We start from the raw sequence: 14,252 nt of genomic DNA on the forward strand, positions 1-14,252 counted from the left end.
GAAGCTGGAAAAAGAAAATCTGCATGTGCCATCTGGGAGAACATTGTAGGTTTCTCGGAGTAGGCCTGAGGCCGAGGTGGCTGTGGGCTGCCACTGTGCTGCTGGTTGGTTTAAGGTTTTCTTTGGAAGATGAGTGAACACAAGTGGTTAGCTTCAAGTGTTCTGACTCTTGTGTGTGTGTTTTCTTTCAGGGTGTGGTAACTGCAGCCACAAGTCTGATCACCACTTTAGCACAGAAGAACCCAGAAGAGTTTAAAACCTCCGTGTCTCTGGCTGTCTCTAGGCTAAGCAGAGTAAGTCTGTTCGTGGGGGAGCAGAAGTCAGGGTGGGTTTTGTCTTAGTTATTTATTTATTAGCTTATTTGTAGAATGCAAGGTATTTGATCAGTTTATAAATTCAGGGATGAAAACCAACTTGGCTTCTCTGTCAGCCTTCTTGTTGAGAACTGTCCTGTCTGTACAGAAGCACAGCTCCCTGTTCCCATGGTGTGAGTGAGCACCCAACACCATGTGGGTGGAGGAGGGGCACCCAGTGGCCCCGTGTCCCCCACTGGGGAAGCGTGGCTGGTGCTTCGTGGACCCACCATCTGGCGTGCACGCTAAAGCCTGCCATTCAGCTTCCTGTTCTGAGTTTGATGCAGATGGACCTGCAGCACACATTCTTTTGTTTTGCTCAACATGGTAAAATTTTTGTTTTGTGTGCAGCTGTTATACATTCATGTTTGATGCTTCATAGAATTGGTTGTGTGAATTGTCCGCTGCAGTTTACCTGCTGTCCTGTTGAACACTTAGCTCCTTGCCCTCTGAGGCTGCTGTGAATCCTCCAGCATGAGCAGTCTTGGATGTCCCTTGGTTTCCATGTGCACGAGATGGCTCAGCTGGGGCCGCGGCTCCTGAACCTGAGGAGACTGGCGTTGCCAGACCAGCTTCCCCTGCCGTGCACACGGCTCTCACAGCGGCAGCAGGAGGCGCGGGCGCGGCACGCGTAGTGCTAGTCTCTTGGGTTTTAGTCATCTGGGTGTATAGTGGGAGCTCTGTGATTTATTTTTTATTTTTTTCTTTTGAGACAGAGTCTCACTTTGTCGCCCAGGCTAGAGTGCAGTGGTGCAGTCTCAGCTCACTGCCACCTCTGTCTCCTGGATTCAAGGGATTCTCCTGCCTCAGCCTCCAGAGTAGCTGGGATTACAGGCACCCACCACCAAGCCTGGCTAATTTTTGTATTTTTAGCAGAGATGAGGTTTCACCATGTTGGCCAGGCTGGTCTTGAACTCCTGACCTCAAGCAATCTTCCTGCTTTGGCCTCCCAAACTGCTGGAATTATAGGCGTGAGCCACCGCACCCGGCCTCTTTGAGATTTAAATCTACATTTTCCAGATTATCAATGAGGTTGAGCAACTTTGCATGTTGATTGGCTGTTTGGGTGTCTTGTTTTGTGAAGTGCCTGAGTCTTTTACCCATTTTTACCCTGGGTTGTCCGTTTTTTGTGTTGAATATTTCACCATTAAGTATGATGTCTGCTTTAGAATTTTGTTGTTGTCGTTGGTACTCTTCACATTAAAGAAGTTCCTTTCTCTATCTAGTTTGTCAAACAGTTTTTATCATTAACTGGTAAAAACATTTGAACTTGCAGTTTTCTTTGTGGGAAACTTTTTTTTTTTTTTTGAGATAGGGTCTCGCTCTTGGTGCCCAGGTTGGAGTGCAGTGGTACGATCTCGGCTCACCATAATCTCTGCCTCCCAGGTTCAAGCGGTTCTCCTGCCTCAGCCTCCCGAGTAGCTGGGATTAACAGGCGCCCGCCAGCACGCCTGGCTAATTTTGTATTTTTAGTAGAGATGGGGTTTTTCCATGTTGGTCAGGCTGGTCTCGAACTCCTGACCTCAGGTGATCTGCCCACCTTGGCCTCCCAAAGTGCTGGGATTACAGGTGTGAGCCCCTGCGCCTGGCTGTGAAACTTTCTAATTATGAATTCAATTTATTTTATAAGTTGTGGAACTGTGCATATTTTCTTTTTCTTTTTTTTTTTTTTTTTTTTTGAGTCGGAGTCGCACTCTGTTGCCCAGGTTGGAGTGCAATGGCACGATCTCGGTTTACCACAACCTCTGCTTGTGTTCAAGCGATTCTCCTACCTCAGCCTCCCGAGTAGCTGGGACTACAGGCCGTCGCCACCACGCCCAGTTAATTTTTGTATATTTTTGATGGAGATGGGGTTTCACCACAATGGCCAGGCTGGTTGCGAACTCCCGACCTCAAGTGATTGATTGCACCTGCCTTGGCCTCCCACAGTGCTGGCATTATAGGCATGAGACACCGCACCTGGACTCCTTTCCTCTACTTTCTTTGGGTTAATTTGCTAGTCTCTTTTTATTATTTATTTATTTATTTATTTATTTATTTTGAGATGGAGTCTCACTCTGTCGCCCAGGCTGGAGTGCAGTGGCACGATCTTGGCTCACTACAAGCTCCGCCTCCTGGGTTCACGCCATTCTCCTGCCTCAGCCTCTCGAGTAGCTGGGACTACAGGCGCCCGCCACCATGCCTGGCTAATTTTTTGTATTTTTTAGTAGAGATGGGGTTTCACTGTGTTAGCCAGGATGGTCTCGATCTCCTGACCTTGTGATCCGCCCGCCTTGGCCTCTCAAAGTGCTGGGATTACAGGCGGGAGCCACCGCACCTGGCCTAGTCTCTTTTTAAACGCTTGAGATGAATTTTTGTTGCTTTTCTCTTTATATTTGTTTCAAATATATACAGTTAAGGCTGTACATTTCTCTCTGAGCCCGGCCTTAGGTGCGTACTTGTTTGAGAGACAGCTCATGTTGGCCGTGTCTGTGTGTCACGGAAGTGCTGTGATTCTTGCCTTTTCCTGCTTTGTGTTTGTGCCTTTCAGCCTTGTCTTTGACAGCCTAGAGCTTGCCTCCTTGCAGCAGGAGTCCGTGACCCAAGTCTGGGCTGGCATCTTGCAGTTTAGGGTAGGAGTCAGGGTGAACTTTTCTGAATGGGTTCACTTACGGCCTAAAAGTGTCACATGTGAGCTTTGTAGGAAGGGAGGAACTACCCTGACCTCCGGGAAACAGGAGACATCGGGCTGTATGTCAGTGGAAATGCGAGGTAGTCGTGATTGTCACTTGTTCAGGAGGTTGACGGAGGATCTGCCAAGCCAAAGGCCGCATTGGACACAGAGATGGGATGTGAGTGAGGTGGGCAGTCTCCCTGCCTCCGTGAGCTCACCATCTGGGTTGGCCTGTGGTCGGGGGGCCCTGTGGGGTTGTGGGGTAGGGTCAGAATGCCGGCTTCTGGGGGTGGGGGTGCTTCTTCCTTCTGAGGAGGCTAAAGCTCTCTCTCTGATTTCATTCACGTGCCGGTCCACAAAGGAAAGACTGTAGTTTCAAATCCAGGTGCTATGGTGTCTTGTACCGAGCGAGGGCTGCCACTCAGCTGCGGCAGCGTGTTGCCGAGTGACAGTGCAGCCCTCTCACGGCGAACCCAGGGGGTACCAAGCAGTGTCAGACACTCTTGGCACATGAAACAAAACCATTTTTCCAGCTCAGGCGTGACCCGAGGAGTGAGTATGGCTTTTCTTTGGGTCCCCGCAGTAGGGGCTCGTGTCCGGCAGCGTGTCTCATTGCCTGTGCTGTCTTACAGATCGTGACGTCTGCATCCACAGATCTCCAGGATTACACTTACTATTTTGTCCCGGCTCCCTGGCTGTCTGTCAAACTGCTGAGACTGCTGCAGTGCTACCCACCCCCAGGTAACGCGCAGGCCGCGGCTCCTGAAGCTGCACCAGTGCCAGTCTGATTCCCTGTCTCAGATTTAAGTGGTTTGTTTGTTATTTTAAGAAGTGTGTTACTAGCCCTGTCTCTTGATTCATGGACCTTTCTGCCAGTGCTGCTGTATGCGCTGGCTTTCGTGGAGCAGTTATTGCAGAGCCTACAGTTTTGTTAGTGTTTGGGTCTATTTGTGCTTTTATAGTATCAGATTTGTGCAGGTTTTCTTTTTGAGATGGAGTCTCCCTTTGTTGCCCAGGCTGGAGTGCAGTGACGCGACCTCAGCTCACTGCAACCTCTGCCTCCCGGGTTCAAGCGATTCTCCCACCTCATCTTCCTGAGTAGCTGGGATTACAGGCACCTGCCATCATACCCGGCTAACTTTTGCGTTTTTGTAGAGACGGGGTTTCACCATGTTGGCCAGTCTGTTCTTGAACTCCTGACCTCAGGTGACTGGCCTGCCTCGGCCTCCCAAAGTGCTGGGATTACAGAAGTGAGCCACCGTGCCCGGCCTGTCTCAGTTTTGTAAATGCTTCCAGCTGGGTACACAAATGTGAATGAACTATATTAAAAATGCTCTCATGATGTATGGGTGCAGCCGGGAGGGGCAGGGTGGGCTGCGGGCCACTGGAGACTGGTGAGCACCGTTCTGTCTTGCCCAGAAGACCCTGCAGTGCGAGGCCGCCTGACTGAGTGCCTGGAGACCATCCTGAACAAAGCCCAAGAACCGCCCAAGTCGAAGAAGGTCCAGCACTCCAACGCGAAGAATGCCGTGCTCTTCGAGGCCATCAGCTTAATCATTCACCATGACAGGTGTGTCGGCTGCCTGTGGAGAGGCTTCGTCTCGCGCACACACACACGTTCCTTCTCGTTGGCACGAGACTGGGCGGATCATGTCTGGTTTGTCCACTCCATGGGCCTCCCCTTCGTCCTGCCTCTGTGCTCCCTGCCGGATGCTTTTTTTCTTTCTGTGCAGCCCGGCCCCTCCTGCTCTGAGCTCACCGTGGATTGCTTTGGTGACTGTGGTCTCATCCCACACGAGGGCCTTTTCCTCCTTCCCCTGAGCATCCCCACTCCTGACTGGCTTCTCATGTAGTGGAACAGAGAGGAGACGGGTGGGGTGGGGGGTGTGCGCGCATGTCCCGTGGCTTTGCTGGATGTGGAGCCGCACTTGGTGGGTCCAGGGTCGCAGGGCAGTGCTGGAAACGTCTGTGCCCATCCACGAAGCGCAGAGGCGCAGGGTGGCGGTCGCTCCACACAGCCTGGAGGGTCTGCCTCCTCTGCTCCCACGCCTTCTCTGCTCAGCAGTTGCGGCGCACCACATGTGGTCTGGCGTGGGTCTTGCGTGTGGGGCCATGCTTTAGGGTCCTGTGAGAATGAGATCGCAGTTCTCACCAGGCTCCCAATAATGAGGGCACGTGCCAGGCTGTGGGCAGACGCTCTCTACAGCTTGTGAACACCACCCATTTGCTACTACAGCATTTTTACAAATGATGAAAACTCAGTCTGAGAGTCACACTTCAGAACTGAGAGTTATTAAAACTGAAATTTCCCATTTTGGAGAAAGCTCTGTTGTTATGTGAGGAGAAGCCACATCCTGAGGAGACAGTAGAGTCAGTGGGGCAGCAGCCGCGCTCCCGGCCTTCTCGGCCTTCTCCCTGCCCTGGGCTGGTGCCTCTGGCTGAGACCCCATTGCCGGTCACAGCTTGACCGGCCTCCCGCGGGCCTGATGCAGATTGAGGCTCAGGAGGTGCTGGGAAGGCTCCAGTGGACACACGGGCTGCTGACTCACTGTGGGGATGCACAGGATGGACACAAAATGGATGTCAGGGGTGGGGGTCGGGCGTCATCTGCATCTGGGGAGGCCCCCGAGTTCCCACTTGAGCAGTGTGGTGGCGGTGAGTGCCGTGTGACTTTGCTGTCTGCCATCTGGACCCGTCGGGGAACGCAGACTCTGTCCAGTTTGTGTTGCACTTGCTGAGGAAACCCCACCCACTTCCCCTCCCTCCACACAGTGAGCCGAACCTGCTCGTCCGTGCCTGCAACCAGTTGGGCCAGTTTCTGCAGCACCGCGAGACCAACCTGCGCTACCTGGCCCTGGAGAGCATGTGCACGCTGGCCAGCTCTGAGTTCTCCCATGAGGCTGTCAAGACGCACATCGAGACGGTCATCAACGCCCTGAAGGCGAGTGCCCTGTCCTTGGGTTCTGCTCACTCCCTGAGCAGGTGCCGTGGGTCTTCCTGTGAAGGCTGGGGGTACGCAGTGCCTCCTGACTCCCCGCAGAGATGGAGGTGGTGCTGGTGCTGCTGGCCTCCGCCTGTCACCTACTCTTGGGAGGTCACACCACTGTTGAGGGCCATGCTGCCTGGAGATGGCCGGGTTGGCCCTGCTGTCCTGGTTAGGCTGAGCAGAGGAGTCTCTGGCAGCCCTTTCCCTGCTGGGGGCAGCCCCCGTGTGCCATCCTGCGCGTGCATAGTGCTGACAAGTAGAAATGGTTCTTCTTGGTAGAAAGATGAAATTTTTTTCCCTTATCTCCAAGAAAATCCCCCTTTTACAAAGGAAACTCACTTTGTTCGGGGATTAAAATTTCAGAGTTGGGGCCGGGCGCGGTGGCTGACGCCTGTAATCCCAGCACTTTGGGAGGCCGAGGCGGGTGGATCACAAGGTCAGGAGATCGAGACCATCCCGGCTAACACGGTGAAACCCCGTCTTTACTAAAAATGCAAAAAAAAATTAGCCGGGCGTGGTGGCGGCCGGTGCCTGTAGTCCCAGCTACTCAGGAGGCTCAGGCAGAAGAATGGCTTGAACCCAAGAGGCGGAGCTTGCAGTGAGCCGAGATCGCGCCACTGCACTCCAGCGTGGGCGACAGAGCGAGACTCCGTCTCAAAAAAAAAAAAAAATTTCAGAGTTGGAAGAGCCCAGTTGAGGTTGGCCATTGCCAGCCTTTGCGAGTCTCCAGAGCGACCCCGAGGGTTCGTTCCACATAGGGGACCCTGCGGTGTGTCCACCAAGTCCCTAGTCACCGGTGCACATGCGTTAGGGAGTGGGAGGCGGGGAGCTGCATGTCCCCCATCTGGCTCAGCCTCAGGCTGTGGCAGGGCTGCTCCCAGTCCCCCGCACGTCTGCGTGCAGCTCACAGATATTCCGGGTGGTGTGCAAGGGGCTCGTGGTGGGCATTTGGTATTCTGGATTCTTCTTGGTCCTGGTTTTGGTGTTTGTTTTAGTCAATCCCTATTGTCAGAAGGGCTGGACACTCATTTGCACACGGCCAGTGCTAGCGCTGGTGGTGCCCACTCTCCTGCCTTTGTTGGGAGCAGAGCTCGGGCTTTCTCGTGCTGCAGAGCCTCCTGGGGGCCCATCAGCACGGGCTCTGGGGTGGGGCGTGAGGACCTGCCTTGGGGCAGCTCCGTGTCCGAGGCAGTGGGGTCTTTGGCTGCATGGAAGGGAGTCCTTGATGGCCTGCACCAGGCAGTGCGCTCAGTCCTAGCGAAGCTGGCCCTTGTGGAGGGCAAGGGAGGCATGGACGAGCGGGCAGAATCCAGGCAGTGCGCTGGGTCCTAGCGAAGCTGGCCTGTGCGGGAGGGCCGGGCCAGCAGGCGGAACTCTATTCCGGGCTGTCCAGACACACGTGGCCCGAGTGCAGGTCGGCTCCCTGGACCTGGATGTGCATGTGAGGGAAACTCAGAGTGGGTGTTGAGATGCGGGTGCCGAGCCTGTCCCCAGCCTGTCCCCAAGCTTGTGCCTTGCTCCTGCGACCTCTTACTCTGTGCCTTGTTCCCCAGACTGAGCGGGACGTGAGCGTGCGGCAGCGGGCCGTGGACCTCCTCTACGCCATGTGCGACCGCAGCAACGCCCCACAGATCGTGGCCGAGATGCTGAGCTATCTGGAGACAGCTGACTACTCCATCCGAGAAGAGATTGTGAGTTCTGGTGGCCTCTGAGTCCTCTCCTGCCACAGGCGTGAATCTCAGCGGCAGGATTTCCTTCGTGCTCTGCGATTCCGTCCAGCAGGACTTGATTGAGAACCCATGAGATGCTGAATACAAGGCTCCTCTGCCTCTGTGTTTTCATCCACATTTTCAAGCTGGGTGTGGTGGCACCTGTGGTCCCCGCTACTCCTGAGGTGGAGGCGGGAGGATCACCTGAGGCCAGGAGGTTGAGGCTGCAGTGAGTCGAGATCATGTCACTGCACTCTAGCCTGGGCAACACAGCGAGACCCTGTCTTAAAAAAAAATCAGCATTTTTGGTAGAGTCGTTTGGTCTTGAAAATAACTATTGGCCGGGTGTGGTGGCTCACGCCTGTACACCTTGGGAGGCCAAGGCGGGCGGATCACCTGAGGTCAGGAGTTCAAGACCAGCCTGACAAACATGGGGAAACCCTGACCCCGTCTCTACTGAAAATACAAAATTAGCCGGGCGTAGTGGCGCATGCCTGTAATGCCAGCTACTCCGGAGGCTGAGGCAGGAGAATCGCTTGAACCCGGGAGGCGGAGGCGGAGGTTGTGGTGAGCCGAGATTGCGCCATTGCACTCCAGCCTGAGCAACAAGAGCGAAACTCTGTCTCAAAAAAAAAAAAACTAAAATGCCCGTCCTGCGCGGCTTCTGTGGCCTGCCTGTCCTTGCAGTGGTGGCACTGTAGCCCCAGGTCTGAGTGAGGCTCCAGCCGTCTGCGCTGGGGCTGCACAAATCCAGACTCCTGTGGGCAAAATTCTTTTAATTGTGTTGCATTTTGAGCCCTTGAATTAATCCTTTGTGGCTTGGCTTTTTTGGGTGTCCCTCTTGATCTCTGGGAAGGACGGGATCTAGGCCATAGCTTAATGTCCCGTGTTGTTTTTATTCACAAAGTAGGTGTGCACACTTGCCAGATAGCTGAAGCTCATCAAACCTGTACGTGTGAAAGACTGAGCATGAACCAAAACCTGAGGGAAGAAACCCTTGTGGAGGCCACATGGTCAGCAGAGAAGAGGGCCTGAGGCCTCCACCACACTCACAGGCCTCTCAGGCTCACCGTGTCTGTGGATGGTGGGGTTTAAGGGGGAGGCCCGGTGTCCTCGCGTGGGGTTCGCCACTGTGACCAGCCAGGACCACAGCCTCTTGTTGAGGCTGAGACAGCGCCTCCGTTGTATAGAAAGCGCTTTGTTATTTGTTTTTTTTGGGCGAAGTGCGGCTCAAGGCCTCCTTGGGAGCTTTGCCGAGAGCCAGTGTTGGAGCTAGTGGCAGGTGACAGGGTTGCTCTGGGCAGGTGTTGTGTGGTCATGCCCAGGTGAGAGACTCGGGTTTTCAGGGGTCTTTTAGTGAACGGAGGAGCCCAGGTGCTGGGGCTTCAATGCTGAGGGGTGAAATTACCATGGACTGAGCTTCAGTGAGGCACTGCAGACCTGCAGAGAGCAGGGGCCAGGAGGCGGCTCTCACGCTGGACTGTCCACCCTCCAGGACAGTGGGCCTGGGAAGTTGAGGGGGACAGGGACGGGGTGGGCTGACTCCCGGCAGGAGGCCCCAAGGGCAGGCACCGTGGTGTAGGGCAGGGCTGTCTGTAGAGGGGCCAGGCAGGTGCTCGTTGACTGTAGCCAGTGGTCCCTCTCTGGCCTGGCTGGGGCAGTGTGGCCTGGTGTCAGCACTTGTGGTGGGGTGGGGCTGGCTCTGGGGACGGCCGTCACGGGAGCCTCGTTCCTGATTGTTGTTCTGGGTGTTTTGAACAGAGACAGAAGCAGTGTGCTTCTGAGTGCAGTTGTGCAGATTTTGAGGTCCTGGGCATTCGTCAGCCCGGTGTCTGCTCTCGCCCCTCTGCGTGATGAGCGGCAATCCTCAGCCAGCTCCTGCTGTGAGGAGTAAGACAGGTGCTGTGTCTTGGCCTGCATGATGCTCCCCCCAGCCCGTCCTTTCAGCCGGACATGATGCTCCCCTCACCCCATCCTTTCAGCTGGGCATGGTGCTCCCCCACCCCATCCTTTCAGCTGGGCATGGTGCTCCCCCCACCCCATCCTTTCAGCCGGGCAGGGTGCTCCCCCCACCCCGTCCTTTCATCTGGGCATGGTGCTCCCCTCACCCCATCCTTTCAGCTGGGCATGGTGCTCCCCCCACCCCATCCTTTCAGCTGGGCATGGTGCTCCCCCCACCCCATCCTTTCAGCTGGGCATGGTGCTCCCCCCACCCCATCCTTTCAGTCGGGTATGGTGCTCCCCCCACCCCATCCTTTCAGTCGGGTATGGTGCTCCCCTCCGTCCTTTTAGCCGGGCATGGTGCTCCCCTCCATCCTTTCAGCCGGGCACGATGCTCCCCCCACCCCGTCCTTTCAGCCGGGTATGGTGCTCCCCTCCGTCCTTTCAGCCGGGTATGGTGCTCCCCTCTGTCCTTTCAGCCGGGTATGGTGCTCCCCTCCATCCTTTCAGCCGGGCATGGTGTTTCCCTCTGTCCTTTCAGTCGAGCATGGCAGGGCGTGTTCTCTGGCTGTGCTAGGTGCTAAGTGTCCAAACTGGACATGGCCCACTCCCTGCCTACTCGGCACCTTGCCATCCATGGAGGGGGACGGATTGAGAGCAGGACCGTGGGTTGCTGTGCTGTGGGTGGGATGGCTGGAGGAAGTGCCTCATGTTCTGGGGGCCTCAGGAGGCATTACACTCCTGGGGGGCTGTGTGGACTTCTGCAGAAGGTGATAGTGGCCTGGTCTGGAGAGGATGATGGTGCAGAGGCTACTGGGAGGGCAGAGCATCCGTTCGTGGAGGGGTGGGAGGTACCTTAGCACAGGCTGGGGAGCAGGGCACGCGAGGCAGGGGTGGAAGCAGACATGGGGACCCTGCCAGTGAGGCCTGAGGGCCCCTGGTGCACAGCCGTGAGCTGCGGGTAGGGCTCAGAGGCAGTACATTTTGGAATGATGCCCTGGAAGTGTCACGGAGTCAGGTTGGGGTTTGGGGGTCCAGGCTCCAGGCAGGGACTTGGGGTGGGGGGGCACAGTCACCAGCACCTGAGAGGCCAGTGGCAGGGTGTGGAGAGGGGGCGGCAGGGTGTGGGGAGGGGCGGCAGGGTATTAGGGGTGCCCTCGGGAGGTGCGCGGTCTTGATGCCTGCTGGCGTTGGTGTTGGCAGCTGGCGCTGTTCGAAGGGGGCTTGGTTCCAGGCGAGGTGACTTTGGGGAGATGAGTTTGGTGTTGTACAGCCTGGCAGAGCTCCATGTGGGTGGCTGCCACGTGGGTGTGGGCTGGGCAGGTGCCTCCGGGGGGCACCCGTGAGAGTGAGCCAGAGAGGGGAAGAAGGGGAACCCCCAGGTGAGGCTCGCAGGAAAGACTGGCCAGAGCCGGAAGAAACCAGCAGAGAAGTGGCCGCCGGGAGCCCAGGGTGGCGCAGTCACTGGCCGCCGGGAGCCCAGGGTGGCGCAGTCAGAGGTCAGAGGAGTGCTGCCACCGGGAGCCTAGGGTGATGAGGTCAGAGGAGTGCTGCCGCCAGGTGCTGGGGCTTTGGGAGAGAAGGGCCCAGGTGGGAGGTGGCCTGGCTGTGGCCGTGGCCTTCTGTGCACTGGTCTCCGCCTCTTCCTGGCTTTCTTTGCTTAAGTCAGGGCATCTTAAACTTTCTGGGCTCGTGGGCTTTTTTGAGAATCGAGTTCAAGCTTCCTCCATGTCCCAAACTTTTGTAGACACATTGAGGTGCTTCTGAAACTCTCACTTTGACTTTGGACGACAGTTTGGTCTTGGGATTGCCATGGCCTGCAGGTGCCGGCCCTCAGCAGCCTGTCCCCCACAGGTGCTGAAGGTCGCCATCCTGGCTGAGAAGTACGCGGTGGACTACACCTGGTATGTGGATACCATCTTGAACTTGATCCGAATTGCTGGTGATTACGTGAGTGAAGAGGTGTGGTACCGAGTCATTCAGATCGTCATCAACCGGGACGACGTGCAGGGCTACGCGGCCAAGACTGTGTTCGAGGTATGGCCCGCAGGATGGCAGGAAGGATGGGGTGGAGGGCAGTTGCAGAAGGTGAGCAGTGAGTGGTTCCAGCCTGCCTGCGTGGAGGTGCCGAGGGCCGTTGCTGACCCCTCTTGCCCCTCAGCTCTTCCCTGAGGCTCTAGCTCCTCCACTGTTGGTGCCCCTTGCTGAGTCCCAGTTTCTTCTCACCCTAACTCTCAAACTTCTGGCTCTCTGGGGGCCACCTGAGAAAGCCGGCCTCTGTGTGTGTGAGAGCATGCTGGGGCATGCCGTGGTGGGGCCTGCCCTGTCCGTCGGAGAGGGTTAGGCCACCGGCAAGGGGTGTGCCATGAGGACGCTGGCAGAACCTCCCCAGCCAGAGCCTGTTGTGGATGCTGCAGCTCCCTCCAGGGCAGGTCAGCGTGTGGCAGCCTTGGGTTCCTTGCTGCTGACACAGGTACTGAGGGTGCTGAGGAAGGCAGGGATGGGCACTTGGACTGGGGTCTCCAGGAAGCTGAGGGGCTGGTGCTGGTGTAGGGTGCACCGCGCCAGGACGTGCCCGCCTCGCCTTAACTCTGGCACCTGGCTGCCACCCCGGCTCATTGTTTGTGCTTCGCAGGCTCTTCAGGCTCCCGCGTGCCACGAGAACCTGGTCAAAGTGGGCGGCTACATCCTGGGGGAGTTTGGAAACTTGATAGCTGGAGACCCGAGATCCAGGTGAGAGGCCCTTTGCGAGTCGGGGCTGTGTGCGCTCCGGCGGGCCTCTCGGTGGTCGGTGGCAAGAGGCGAGGCACCAGCTGGCCCTGCCGTGAGGCCTCGCAGAGCCGCTTCTGCTCCCCATCGGCGTCTTTTTGTTTTCCTTCAGTTGATAGAAAAAGCAGGGATTCTAGTAGAAAATGGAGACGTGGGGTTGATGGCTGACTTAGTGAAAGGGGCGTCTTTGCGGTGGGATCTGGAGCTGGAAGAGGGTCCCGACCAGCGGCCTCTGGTGCAGGCCAGGGGGTCTCGCCGCCGTCCCCCCCCCGCGGGGGCGTGCTGCAGCCTGCGAGGGGACGACGGTGTCCCTGTGTTGTGCCTCCCCGTCCCCAGCCCGCTGATCCAGTTCCACCTGCTGCACTCCAAGTTCCACCTGTGCAGCGTCCCCACCCGCGCGCTGCTCCTGTCCACCTACATCAAGTTCGTGAACCTCTTCCCGGAGGTGAAGCCCACCATCCAGGACGTGCTGCGCAGCGACAGCCAGCTCAGGAACGCAGACGTGGAGCTGCAGCAGCGTGCTGTGGAGTACCTGCGGCTCAGCACCGTGGCCAGCACCGACATTCTGGTAGGAGGCCCCCGCCCTTCGGGCTGGCTTGGCTGAGGGTTGGAGGCCAGGAGCTCTGACCAGTCCCACCCTGTGTTCTTTCCAAGGCGACCGTGCTGGAGGAGATGCCCCCATTCCCGGAGCGGGAGTCCTCCATCTTGGCAAAGCTCAAGAAGAAGAAGGGCCCCAGCACGGTGACAGACCTGGAGGACACCAAGCGGGACAGGAGTGTGGACGTGAACGGGGGTCCTGAGCCTGCCCCAGCCAGTACCAGCGCCGTGGTGGGTCCCTCACCTACTGTGCACCCAGACCTGTCAGGGCCTCACCCCCAAGACTTGGGACCAGCAGAGCATTTGCCTGTCAGGGAGGAGCATGTACTGAGAACCCAGGCTCTGGCTGTGGCTCTGGACACCCCGCTGTCCTGTCCTGGGGGCCACTGTCCCTGCTGGACACGCTGCTGTCCTGTCCTGGGGGCCACTGTCCCTGCTGGACGCCACGCTGTCCTGTCCCGGGGGCCACTGTCCCTGCTGGACGCCCCGCTGTCTGTCCCGGGGGCCACTGTCCCTGCTGGACGCCCCCCTGGCCTGTCCCGGGGGCCACTGTCCCTGCTGGACGCCCCGTTGTCCTGTCCCGGGGGCCACTGTCCCTGCTGCACACCCTGCTGGCCTGTCCCGGGGGCCACTGTCCCTGCTGGATGCCCCCCTGGCCTGTCCCGGGGGCCACTGTCCCTGCTGGACGCCCCGTTGTCCTGTCCCGGGGGCCACTGTCCCTGCTGGACGCCCCCCTGGCCTGTCCCGGGGGCCACTGTCCCTGCTGCACACCCTGCTGGCCTGTCCCGGGGGCCACTGTCCCTGCTGGACGCCCCCCTGGCCTGTCCCGGGGGCCACTGTCCCTGCTGCACACCCTGCTGGCCTGTCCCGGGGGCCACTGTCCCTGCTGGACGCCCCCCTGGCCTGTCCTGGGGGCCACTGTCCCTGCTGCACACCCCGCTGGCTTGTCCCGGGGGCCACTGTCCCTGCTGGACGCCCCTCTGGCCTGTCCCGGGGGCCACTGTCCCTGCTGCACACCCCGCTGTCCTCTCCCGGGGGCCACTGTGCCTGCTGGGCAAGGCACTTCCTTCAGACCGTCGTCTTGTCCAGCTCAGCTCACACATCCTCTGTGGTGCCTTGTTTTAGGGGAAGTGGCCGTCCCCTCTCCTACAGGACTGCCTCACCCAGGCAGCTGTCCTCACATGCTTTGTTGATTTAGAGAGGACCTGTCCTGCCCTGCTCTTCGAGGTTTTATGTAGTGAGTT

The 14,252-nt window shown here is 57.8% G+C and overlaps 1 protein-coding gene across 12 annotated transcripts in view, besides 1 other annotated feature; it reads left to right on the forward strand.

The window, feature by feature from the left end:
* Positions 1-14,252, forward strand: part of AP2A2 (adaptor related protein complex 2 subunit alpha 2) — an 86,371-nt gene that overhangs the window by 55,137 nt on the left and 16,982 nt on the right. For 9 of the 12 annotated variants that reach the window (NR_144510.2, XM_047426480.1, XM_047426479.1 and 6 more), the window contains 9 exons: positions 192-293; positions 3,639-3,747; positions 4,426-4,576; positions 5,779-5,947; positions 7,546-7,683; positions 11,497-11,679; positions 12,278-12,375; positions 12,748-12,979; positions 13,066-13,239. Coding sequence is in view for 10 of the 12 variants with exons in the window: in XM_047426480.1 (XP_047282436.1) it covers positions 192-293; positions 3,639-3,747; positions 4,426-4,576; positions 5,779-5,947; positions 7,546-7,683; positions 11,497-11,679; positions 12,278-12,375; positions 12,748-12,979; positions 13,066-13,239 (1,356 nt within the window). In the remaining 2 variants the exon portion in view is untranslated. The remainder of the gene's footprint in view (positions 1-191; positions 294-3,638; positions 3,748-4,425; positions 4,577-5,778; positions 5,948-7,545; positions 7,684-11,496; positions 11,680-12,277; positions 12,376-12,747; positions 12,980-13,065; positions 13,240-14,252) is intronic. The other 3 variants (NR_144509.2, NM_012305.4, XM_047426484.1) reach the window with 1 other exon arrangement.
* Positions 13,278-13,802: an enhancer, noted in NCBI's record as "H3K4me1 hESC enhancer chr11:994284-994808 (GRCh37/hg19 assembly coordinates)". NCBI's record gives its function as "activates a minimal SCP1, AML or CMV promoter by ChIP-STARR-seq in primed H9 embryonic stem cells {active_cell/tissue: H9 hESC(primed)}" and the evidence as "EXISTENCE:reporter gene assay evidence [ECO:0000049][PMID:30033119]".

Source organism: Homo sapiens, chromosome 11, assembly GCF_000001405.40.
Source record: "Homo sapiens chromosome 11, GRCh38.p14 Primary Assembly".
NCBI classification, from domain to species: Eukaryota; Metazoa; Chordata; class Mammalia; order Primates; family Hominidae; genus Homo; species Homo sapiens.